This window comes from Homo sapiens, chromosome 4, assembly GCF_000001405.40.
Source record: "Homo sapiens chromosome 4, GRCh38.p14 Primary Assembly".
Lineage (NCBI taxonomy): Eukaryota > Metazoa > Chordata > Mammalia > Primates > Hominidae > Homo > Homo sapiens.
Window position 1 is genome coordinate 142,268,435 of NC_000004.12, and position 12,883 is coordinate 142,281,317.

Consider the following 12,883-nt stretch of genomic DNA (forward strand, 5'->3'; position numbering starts at 1 on the left):
ATGGAAAACAATACGGAGGCTCCTCAGAAAACTAAAAATAGAACTACCATAAAACCCAGCAATCCCACTCTGGGTACTCCAAAGGAATTGAAATCAATATGCCAAAGAGATATCTGCACTCATGTTCACTGCAACATTACTCACAATAACTAAGATGTGGAAGCAATCTTAGTGTCCATCATCAGATGAATGGAAAAAGGAAATGTGGTATATACCACAATAAAAAACTATTCAGCTTTGAAAAGGGGGAAAGTTCTGTCATTAGTGACAACATGGATAAACCTGGATGATATTATGCTAAATGAAATATGCCAGGCACAAAACAAATACTGAATCATCTCATTTATATGCTGAGAAAGAAAAGAGATTCTTGGGACCCCAAACTCACTATGTCGGAAGGAAAGTTAAGATTGGGAACTGAAACACACAAAAAACTGCCTTTGTTTTTTTCCCCCGACGAACAGATAGCTGCAATGATAGAAGCCCACATCTCTCCCCAGATGCCCTCCTTCACAAATTGCTCACAATTCCTTGTGGGCCCCAACTCTTTCAGAATATATAACCCCCTATAAAATAGCCTTAATACAGAGTTTTGTTGAATCTCACCCTAACAATGTAAATTAACAGCTTATATGTCCACAGGGAGGGGACAAGGACAAGACTAGAAAATCATCCCTCTGCCCACCCTGAGCCAAACACGTAATTGACTTCTTTTATTTTAAGTAAAATGTGGATTTACTGAATATGAGAGGAATGCATAATTGACTATTCCTCTTCTCCCTTTCACATATAAAATGTAGATTCACTGAGCACTAATGAAAGCCTCACTATGGGACCACTTACCTCATTGCCTACCCTCCCCCCTCTTTTTTCCTCTCTTCTTCCCTTCCTGCTTACTCTTTCTCTTTTACATATCGGAGTCCTCAAAACCCTCTTTGGAAAAGGCAGGGGTCACAGATGCTCCTCTAATTTGTGTTTTTTCCCAGGTGCAGCCTCAACCTTGGCAAAATAAACATCTAAATTAATTGAGACCTGCCTTGGTCATTTTTTTAGCTTGCATTTGTGGAATCTAAAAGATTCAAACTCATAGAAGTAGAGGGCAGAATGATGGTTACCAGAGGCTGGGGGAGGGAAAGTTTAGGGAAATGGGAGGTGCTCATCAAAGGGTACAAGTTTCCGTTAGCCAGGAGGAATAAGCTTTAGTGAGTTATTGAGCAAAATGGTTACTGTATAATAGTCCATTGTAGATTCCAAAATTGCTGCAAGGAGAAATTTTAAATGTTTTTACCACACACACAAAATAAGTATGTGAGGCGATAGATTTGTTAATTAACCTGATTAATCATTCCATAACGTAAATATATATCGAAACATTACATTGTACCCCAGAAGTATATACAATGATTGTTTATTAAAAATAATTTTTTAAAATGCTCATTTATTAAAAGGTAGAAATTATAGTGTATAAAATTCATTTTCCTAAAAGAAACTACTAGCAGTTTCTAAGTCTACCCCATGTGCTTCAATGGTCTCAATAAAACAGGCAATTGCATTCCTAAGAAATAAATTTAGGCTAATATTTACATAGTTTCTCTGCCTTAGTGAAAAGGAACAGAAAGAAAGAAAGAATCCTGGACACATATTTATATGCATCAGGCCTTTATTCTGTGTTTCAGGAAGCAGCTTCTCCTTCCGTTGCCATTGTCCCTCCTCCAGAGCTATTCCTTCAATGAATACTATTTCCTGCTTCTCTCTCCTCAATCTCATAAGGCAGGAACTTCTTGTTAAATCTGCCCTCCTTCACGTAAAGGTGAAATACAAATTAAAATCGCATATCTTTCCAAAGAGGGTTTTGGGAGTAGAGAACAAGTTATTTTGGGCAATAGCCATCCCAGAATCTTCTGGCATCTCACATAGAGTTAATTATGGTAAAATGCGACAATGATCAATACTTTTGTTCCAACTGAGAAGAGGCAGTGCCAACCAGGGAGCTGGCAGGGAAGAGGAAGGTGCTTCTGAATGGAGCATTGCTTTGCATAGTTCCAAGCAAATAGGCCCTTTGATTCAGAGGCTGAAACACACATATTGTATTCCAATTTCAGAGCTGTTGTCCCATTTAGGTTTTGATAATGAGATTTCAAACCCCACAGAGATGTTGGTGAGACAGACATCTGGCAAAGCTGATCATTTTTAATTTAATTTGTACAATGAGCAGACTGAGATCCTACCTTTTGTCCCTGTACATCTGTGGTGATGTGGTCGGCTTCCCCATCCTCAATCTCCCCCATCTTCACGACACTGACTTCTATGGTGCCAACCACTTTGCCACCATCTGAAGTTCTGCAACAAAAAATACACGAAATGGAAAGGTAAGAAGCTTCTCTCTCCCCCAAAAATATCCAAAACACATTTGTTTCTGAAAACCACCAGCATTGTTATTTACTTAATAAGACAACATCTGCATAAAACACAGCAAAACATGTTAATAGGGTAGGTGTTTGTGTGTGTGTGTGTGTGTGTGTGTGTTTTCTTTTTTCTTTTTTTTTGAGATCAAGTTTTGCTCTTGTTGCCCAGGCTGGAGTGTAATGGCGTGATCTCAGCTCACCACAACCTCCACCTCCCAGATTCAAGAGATTCTTCTGCCTCAGCCTCCCGAGTAGCTGGGATTACAGGCATGTGCCACCATGCCTGGCTACTTTTGTATTCTCCATGTGGTCAGGCTGGTGTCAAACTCCCAACCTCAGGTGATCCACCCGCCTAGGCCTCCCAAAGTGCTGGGATTACAGACGTGAGCTACTGCATGTTGTTTTTCATTTGAAATTAAAATTATCCATGAATGTGTGAGGTAAGAGCACGGACTGTCGAAAAGTACCTTAGGAAGATGAAACCTCCTAAACGTTCTCAGAGGTGCCCTCAAGGAAAGAACATTGTGTCATAGATCAATACCCCATTTGGAACCATCAAATCTAAAACAGCATAAACTGCAGCCCATCTATACTAACTGCATGAGATACCTATGTGTCTATCACAGAAACTGTGGCCAAGTAAAATAGAAAAGAGTATAAATATTCTTATCTTCCTCTATGACTGGGCTATTGGCTACAAAATCTGACTTTGTGCCTTTTCTCTAACATTTTTGTTTACATGCTACTAAGTACAAAAGATTCTCTCCTAGCAAACATAAGAACATGTAAAGCAGAACATAACCCAAAGCTCATTTAGTACAACTCTTTACTTTTTCAGATAAAGAAACTGAGACTCAAAAAGATGAGAAGACCCTTCCAAGGTAACGAAGTGGCAATTTCAGGTTTCTATCTTCTCCAAGTCATTGACAAGTCTTTTATATTCAATGATAATAATATAAGATTTTCACCATCATTATTTTTAGCAGCATAAAAATTTTATGTTTGGCAATAATAATGAAAGCTAAAGATAAGTTTACGAGCCACACTTTAAGATTCTCTAGTTTCCTTTTCCGAGCAAGAAAAACTACAGAATAAATAGTGCCATTATACCATGGAAACACTGCACATATAATATTTTTCACTTGAGCCTTTTGTGAAAATAGGTAGCAAGCCACCTCATAGATATGATGTGTTGCTGTCACTTCTATTTCAGTAGAATTAACTGAATAGTCATGTGACGTCTCATTTTCTTCATTAGTCACATCTTTCATGAAATTTGTTTTCAACTTTTAGCTGAACACCAATGTTGTCTTTCTTTTAACTAATTCCTTCTAAATGCTGCTTTTTTTTAGTATTAAAAGTGTCAGAAAGCAGAAGGGGCATTTCTATGAGTAGTTTACCAAAATGCTAATTAAAATAACCAATAAATTAGGTGAAAAGAAACGCTGATTCTATTACTAGATAAGGTACAAATTAAAACACGACTTTTGAATTATGTTTTTAAGAAAATTAAAAGAGAAAATTTCTGATAGCATGTACACAGCTGATTTCATAGTGCAATAAAATAAAAAAATTAAAAATAAAAGTGATTTATTGTTAAATAGATTTCTTACTAAAATAAAAAGTGAAATGCTTCTTGGTGATTTTGAAATCAGTGGAAATTATAATGTTGATTCAGTTGTTTGAAATTAATATAGAGAGCAAGTATTTATCACAAAGAAGATGTGTAGGCAGGTGACAGCATGATCTGTGAAGAAAACTATATTAACTCTAATCCTGGGATGGCTTTAAATAATTCATTATATCAGTTTTCCAGTGTGTCATATTCTCATTTGAATATGACACAATAACTTGTCATAAGTCATGGTGCAGCATGTTTCTGTATAATTCTTCAGTACTTAGTAGTTAAATAAAGCATATAATAAGGACCTTCATGGGTACTACTTAAAAGTTAATTTTATAGATATTTGCAGATTTCTTTTTCATCAAAACTGCTTATCTATAAAAACTAAACACGTTTTTCTTCTCAAAAGGCTTGTTTTAAACTTTTTACTTGGGCAAGCTAAGTTAGCTTAATTGCTAGAAGCACAAGGCCTACGTATGATATTCTAAATTTTTTCACTGAACTAATCCAAATAATGCACCTACTGATTTGCAACAGAAGAGCTGTGTAATAAACCGTATATGTCATATTGGTTAAAAGTGTGAACTCAAGAGTTTGAGTTATCTGCTAGCTGTGTGACTTTGGGCAAGTCATTTACCCATGTGAATCTTTGATTTTCTTATTTGTAAAATGGAGATGACAATAGCCTTGTTTAAGAATTAAATTATGGGAGATAATTAATGTAAAGTGCTCAACACAATGTCTTACACAAGATAATTACCACTTCTGCCCCATCATCCTAATGGTAGTATTGGAACAGTAACAGTAGCAGCAAAACCAGAATTGCTACTTTTATTAATGTATTAAATTATATTTAATTTGATGCTCTCAAGAAATTTTACTGAAATCGATATCTGAGACTATAGTGAAAGGCTATAAGGTCTCATGGCATATGCTATCTCAACAGTGATTCAATGCTTACTGGGGATACAAAGACTTTGTAATAAGAGGATGTTATGATGTTTACATTCCTAGAAGTGCAGAGAACACAAATTTACTAATTATAATGCAAGTGAATCATTCAAAAATACTAAAATAGATGAATAATCAATGAAATATGGGAGTAAACTTTGGAACTATAGCTCTATCTATTCCCTTTCTTAAAGCATTTGGCTACTTTTTCAATGATTTTCCTTCCTTTTGGGTTTCCTATTTTTCCTTATCTTCTATAGGCTTTCACTTAGTGCCTGGGTGGAATCAAAGCAAGGAACATGCTTAATCTAGTGATGCTATAGAATTCTAGCATAAATTTCTCCCCAAAACCATTTTGGATGGGCAGCTTTTTTACATGCCCTAAAGCATGTTTCCTCAATTGAACTTTGTGGAAAAAACAGAATGGTAAATCCAGGTTATAAACTAAAGAACTAAACACAAGACATCCAAAAGTATGGTTCACCCTGTCACTGAACTAGAATGTAAAATGTAGAAGCCACTCTCTATTTATTCTGTTAAAATTTACCATACAAAGAATACAGGTATCCACACTTCTTGTCAATTAGGAGAGTCACAAATGAAATATCTATTTCATGTTTCCAAAGATTTTTTCAAAGATGTCTTAAAGATTTAGGAAAAAAAATTCTTAAATGCTAAATTATGCTTTCAATTTATCACCTATCAAGTTGGAAAGGCTAGTAATAATAGCTTAATCATTATTCATCACCAAAATTCTACTGAATTTTACCTTATGGAAATTCATCACATCTGCGTAGAAAATATATTAAAGAGAGTTCTGTGCTAGGAATCAAGAAATCCAGGTTCTACTTCTGACTCATCCACTAACTAGCTATGTGACTAAGTGCATATCACTTCAGTTCTCTGGATTTGTTTCTATTACTGTAAAACAAAGAGTTGGTCTCTAACAGCTGTTCCATACTATTAGCACTCAAACCCCATGCTCTAATAACTCCTGTGATTTCATCATAGGGCATCACAGATTGATATGGACTCAACAAAAATCTCAGGTCAATTCTAGCTTCTCTTCCTCACTCTACACCTTCCCATTCCACTTTCTGCCAAACAAACCAAATGTATGACAAATCTGGAAAGTGACTTAGCACTTATATCCAAATTAAAAAAGAGCTAGCTTTTCTTATAATATCATATTATATATGTCATACAGATGTATATAGCAATTATGACATTGGATCTTGGTATGTTTACAAGGATACAAATTTGATTGAACCAAAAACAGAAGTGATCTTCATACTCTTACCTTTCCTAGCAATTCATGTAGCAATAAGATGGGGCTGCAGTAATCAGTATCTCAATCTACTTAAGGAAAAAAACCATGTCATTTCAGATAGTGTATTGCCAGGTCATTACCACTGTTTAACGCAGAAAGCAGAGAGAGAAGTAAAAGATAAGCAGTTCATGGCTGCTGCAGTATTTCAATCACAATGTCAAGTTTCTCTTTCCCTCAGAAGATAGACTTAAATATTTAACCACAACAAAAAGATATAGAAGACAAAGATCGGGAAAATTTCAGCAACACAAATCTACACTCCCTTCTTACCTAAGTTTTCAGCATACATAATATATTGGTGATTAAGGTTCCTTAAAATCTGCCTTTAAAATGGCTCCCCTAATACTTCCTAATGAAATATTCAATCTCACATGCTGGAACACATTAATATTTTTAGAAGACTAAAGGAAAGGGAATATAAAACAGTCTTCTAACAAAGGATAATTTAATGACACTTTTTCAAAACTTCTTTCTCACCAATTCTGCCATCATTAATAGAGGGAAAAAAAGAAAAAAGAAAAACATCTCCAGAAGTATTAAACAGCAAAATGTAAATAACTTCTCGATTTTGGAAATGCCACAGAGATACAAACCAAAAAATGACTCTGTAAACACCTAGGGACAAACCATCATTAGCACTGTCAGCCTTTGTGAATATAAAGTAGTTCTGGTACTATGCACAGGAGTCTTCAGCTAGGAGACATGCCCTGCATTTAAACCATCTAGACATGTAAGCAGAAATGAAAATCTCACCCAAACATAAAAATAAACAAGGGCCATAAGTAAACAAACAGATTCACTGAGTGAGTGACTGCACCCTGATGATCTTTCTGGTGAATATAATTATACAGCAGTGCAGGATTTACATAGGGCTCACAGAAGTTAGATTTATATTTAAGTATGTATAACTAAACACACCTCTATTCTGGCTGAAATTCACAAATGTCAGAAGCCATATAATGCTTTCAAATTAATAGTAAAATAAAGCTTTTCAGTATTGTTTAATATTAATAGCTTAAACTCTAGGGTTTATTTCTCAGTTTTCTGCTCTTTTCTCAGTATAGGCTCACCTTCAGACATTCCATCCATCATCATGAACTTTAACTCTCCTTTTATGAAGATCTACCCCAATCCCATATTCCCAACTTGATCTTGATTTTCTGATCTAGAACTCCAAATTCCCTTTATTCTGATCTCATTTTACATTCTACAAGCTTGAGACCTAACCTTTCATTCTCTCAAACCCAAATTCACCCACATTAGTAGCACATCATTCTCCAAAAACCAAAACCAAAAATATTCCTCCTCTACCTCTGCCTTGCCCTTCCCCTCTAATCAGTCACTAAGTCCTACCAATTCTTCCTCCATAATGTCTATTTCATGTGTCCCCTCCCAATAGCAACATTCCAATTAGTTTTATTACTTCTCCTGTGTTATACCTGAAGAACCTACTTCCCTTCCTCCAGTATCTGTTCCTTCCATTTCATTCATGTCAAGTTTTCATCTTAAAGCTCTACTTTCACTATTTTATTTTTTTCCTATTAAAAGTCCTTAGACATTGCCCAGTACTTAAAGGGGCTTAACTACATAGCCTGTCTTTCAAGTCTTTGTATCAGGATCTGTCAAAGTTTATGGACACTCAGTATTTTTGGCTCACACTGATCCACCTCATCACATACCATTAAATAATGAAGTATGGTTTAGTGGAAAGCACAGTGAATGTTGAGTAACAAAGCCCTTGGTTATAGTGCTGACTCTATACAGTAAACAGCTATGTAATTATGAGCAGGCAACTCAGCCTCTGTAAAGATTTTCCAGCTATAAAATATAAAGATTGTAAACCATCCTACTTATCTCACAAGACTTATGTGATCAAAAAGAAAAGTTCTTAGGTTTAAATATAAAAATTCTTCAGTATATGGAAATGAGTAGTATCATTTATATAGCCTGGGCCACAAAGCTTCAAGAGCATGACGTAGAAATGTTGATCATCAGTTTTTCAGACTAACTGGCTTGTAGATTACTGTTTACTGCTATAAACAGTACTCTCCAAATATGAGGAATTATACAAATACAAATAAGATAAAGCAATTTTTACCTTCCTCATGACACTATTAAAAATATATATTTGGAAACATTTCAATGCTAAATGTAAAATATAAACCAGCTCTAGCTCCTTGAATTAAGAAATATTTTATCAGCAAGGTGAGAAAACAAGGTTGGCATCTTGCAAATGTCGTCAGATTTCCAAAATTGCATTAAAATTAACAGGCCATTCTTCCAGGAGTTAGGTGGTGTTGCATTGTGATTTTGATTTGCATTTCCCTGATAATTAGTGATGCTGAGCATTTTTTTATATGTTTGTTAGTCATTTGTATATCTTCTTTAGAGAATTGTCTATTCATGTCCTTAGCCCACTTTTTGATGGGATTGTTCTTTTTTTTTTTTCTTGCTGATTTGTTTGAGTTTCTTCTGGATTTTGGATATTAGTCCTTTGTCGGACATATACATTACAAAGATTTTTCTCCCACTCTATGGGTTGTCTATTTACTCTCCTGACTATTTCTTTTGCTGTGCAGAAGTTTTTTAGTTTAACTAAGTCCCATCTATTTATCTTTGTTTTATTGCCATAATAAAAAAAGTAATAGGTGTTGACGTGGTTGTGGTGAAAAGGGAACACTTTCACACTGTTGGTGGGAATGTAAACTAGTATAACCACTATGGAAAACAGTGTAGAAAGAACTAAAAGTAGATCTACCATTTGATCCAGCAATCCCACTACCAGGTATCTACCCAGAGGAAAATAACTCACTATAAGAAAGATACTTGCACGTGCATGTTTATAGCAGCACAATTCACAATCACAAAAATATGGAGCCAGCCCAAATGCCCATCTATCAATGGGTGGATAAAGAAAATATCATACACACACACACATACACACACACACACACACACACACACCATGGAATACTACTCAGTCACAAAAAGGAACAAAATAATGGCATTTGCAGCAACCTGGATGGAATTGGAGACCATTATTCTAAGTGAAGTAACTCAGGAATGGAAAACCAAACATCGTATGTTCTCACTAATAGGTGGGAGTTAAGCTATGAGGACGCAAAGGCACAAGAATGGTACAATGGACTTTAGCAACTTGGGGGAAAGGGTAAGAGGGGAGTGAGTGGTAAAAGATTATACATTGGGTACAGTTGCACTGCTCGGATGATGGGTGCACCAAAATCACAGAAATCACCACTAACAAACTTATTCATATAACCAAACACCATCTGCTCCTCAAACACCTATTTAAAAATAATAATAATAAATGGATGGCCATCATGATCTGCCCATTGGGTTCCAGTTGCAGGTAACATGGAGTATGCACACTCTACAGCATTGTGCACACTGAATGCAGCTATAAAACCTAAACGGAACACAAGGAGCAGCCATTTGAGGACCAAAACTAAATAGCACCATGCATATTGGGGAAGGAGATCAGAATCTTAAATATCATTGAACCAGCAGTGAGTTTACCATTTCTTCCCCTTTGGTTTCTCCCAACCTAGATTAGACACAGCTTGAAATGCAAGTGTGGGCATTAGTGTAGACAGAGAGAGCTCCAGGAGAATTCTTTTAGTTCTGACTCATGGGCAGGAAAGTGGTCTCCTAATACTCAGAAAAATGAAGGGAGATCCTTTTTTCTCTCTCCACTCTCTCATGCCCCAGCTCTCAAGTAGTCTTGCAGTGGCAATGATGGCAGTATTTAGGGCTCACAGGGACCTAAAACTATGAGGGGCAAAAAGTTACCTCTCTGATTGGAGAAGCTATGATCCCAAGATAGTGTGGCGAATTCCCCTTACCTTTTATTTTTCTCTATTCTCATGGCCCCAGGAAGAAAGTGGAGTTGTACAGGAGAGTAGGTAAATAAACCCAAGCTTACTGGTTGGAGGATCAAAAAGGGAAGCCACAGGAAACAGGAAGTATGGAGGAGATTGTGGAGAGGGGGAAGCTCCAGAAAGTGACTTCTTAATATTGTTCATGAACTCTGGGCTCACCCAAAGTTGTGCATGGAAAGATCTGATACTGAAAAGTATGTAAGAGACTTTGAGAAATAATCTATGAACCAGAACACCACAAAGGTCTTGGCTGTCACCTGGATGACAAGTATGAGGAACAGGTCTGAATAACACTATAAAAATTTGGAAAACAGAAGTGAGATTGAAACCACAGGTTTCACAGGACACAAGGTTAATGCACAAATATCTGGCAATGAACAATTAGAAATTGAAATTTTAAAAATTCAGTAGATCCAAAATAAATAAAATGTTTAGGAGTGACTATAACAAAATATATGTAAGATCTTTATGCTGAAAACTATAAATACTAATAAAAAATTCAAAGAAGGTCTAAATAAATAGACATATAGACATATACTATGATAATGGATTGGAAGATGCAACTTTAAAAGCTGTCAATTCTCCTCAAAGTCATCTACAGATTTAATGTAATACCAATCAAAATTCCAGTAAGATTTCTTGCAGATATCAACAAGCTGATTTGACAAGTAACAAGGAAAGACAAAACAGTATTGGAAAAAATAAAATGAAGGAATTGAACTAACTGATTTTAAGATACATTGTAAATCTAGAGTAATTAAACTCTGGTTTTGAAATAGGACAGACAAACTGACAAATAGAAAATATAACCAATTGATTTTTGACAAAGTTACAGGCAATGGAATGAACTAAAAGTAGTCTTTTCAACAGATGGTATTGGAACAATTAAACATCCATTTGGAAAAAAAATAAACTCTGCTTAAACTTTACAAATTAAACAAAAGCAGTTAACTTAAAGTAGTTCATATACCTAAATGTAAAACATAAAAATGTAACACTTTAAAAGTGACCCAGGAAAAAATTTCTGTGAACTGGACTTAGGTTCTTAGAGTTCTTTAGTGTGACACCAAAGTCATGATCTATAAAAGAAAAACCTCAATAAAATAAAGCTTGTCAAAACTGCAAATTTGCTCTGTCAAAGACATGGTTACAATAATAAAAAGACAAGCTACTGACTTGGAGAAAACATTTGCAAATCACATATCTAACAAAGAACTTGTATCCAAAGTATATAAAGAGCTCTTAAAATTCTAAAGTTGTAAGAAAACAACCAACCCAATTAATCAATGATCCAAACACTTGAACAGATATGTTTCAAAAAAGGATATATGGATGGCAAATAGCACATCCAAAGATGTTGAACATTATTGGCCATTAAGTTTTAATTAAAATTAAAACTACTATGAGACGCCACTTTAACACCCTTACAATGGCTGGCAAGGATGAAGACTGACTGAAACTCTCATACATCTCTGTAAGGAAAAACAGCTCAGCTGCTTTTTATAAAGTTAAACACACACTTACATAAACCAGCAATCCCAATTCTAAATATTTACCCTAGAGAAATGAAAACTTAGGGTCACATAAAAACCTATACATGAGAAATTCAGCAGCTTCATTCATAATAGCCAAAAAACTGGAAACAATAGAAATATCCTTTAATGTAAATGGTTAAACAAACTTTGTTGTATCCACAACATGCAATATTAATTTGGCAATAAAAAGAAACTGTTGATACACCACCAACTTGGATGAATTGTAAAGACATTGGACTGAATGAATGAAGTTATCCCAAAAGATTATATACTATACAATTCAATTTATTCAATTTCATTCTCAAAAAGGAATAGCTATTTTGATGGACAACAGATCAGTGGTGGCCAGGGGTTGGTGTGGGTGTGAAGGGGTTTCTTTGTGGTAATGGAAAAGTTCTGTATCTGGACTGTGGATACGGACTCTGTTCATACATGTGTTAAAATTCATAGAACTGTACAACAATAAAAAGTCAATTTTACTCTATGTTAATGTATAAAATGGGATAAATGAGAAAGGACACATCCATTTTCTCCGATAATAAATCAATACCAAACAAACAAACAAAAAAATCGCACAGCCATTTAGTCTGGGCATACAGAAACCACATTATTAAAATGTTATCCTCTTCCATGTCAAGCAAATTTCTGACATTTACTTGGAATGTTGGATTAAAGTATGGATTTTATCCCATGCACTATAAATTCAAAATATCTAAAGACATTAGAAATTTCATATAGGAAAGGAAGAAATTTCACCTGAATAGTAGGAAGCATTTCATAACAGACTAGATTCTCATTCAGGAGGTGCAATATATTTACCAAGCCAGTGATGCATAAATCAGCTGGCCACCTATCATCTAAAATTATCACATTTAGACCTACAGAAAAGAAACTGTTCCTGAGACTTTTTGTTAAGTTCATTTATTTCATTTTTTTTTTTTGTATTTTTAGTTTTGAGTAAGAGAAAGAGGAAAAGAGTGCTACACCTTTTAAACACAGACTATTGGGAGAGGAAGATGATTGTGGCAAGAAAGAAATATGTTATAGGAGGTTATAGATAGATGACTGGGAATACCTGACTTCCTGTGGAAATTTTCAGAAGCAAAAAATAGATACACTTATAAGGCCAGGTGAAAACA

At 35.2% G+C, this 12,883-nt stretch overlaps 1 protein-coding gene across 64 annotated transcripts in view; it reads right to left on the reverse strand.

Annotated features, from left to right (window-relative positions):
• The window catches only part of INPP4B (inositol polyphosphate-4-phosphatase type II B), an 823,376-nt gene that overhangs the window by 245,275 nt on the left and 565,218 nt on the right, over nucleotides 1–12,883 (reverse strand). For all 64 annotated transcript variants that reach the window (NR_169617.1, NR_169615.1, NR_169599.1 and 61 more), the window contains one exon: nucleotides 2,229–2,340. Coding sequence is in view for 53 of the 64 variants with exons in the window: in NM_003866.3 (NP_003857.2) it covers nucleotides 2,229–2,340 (112 nt within the window). In the remaining 11 variants the exon portion in view is untranslated. The remainder of the gene's footprint in view (nucleotides 1–2,228; nucleotides 2,341–12,883) is intronic.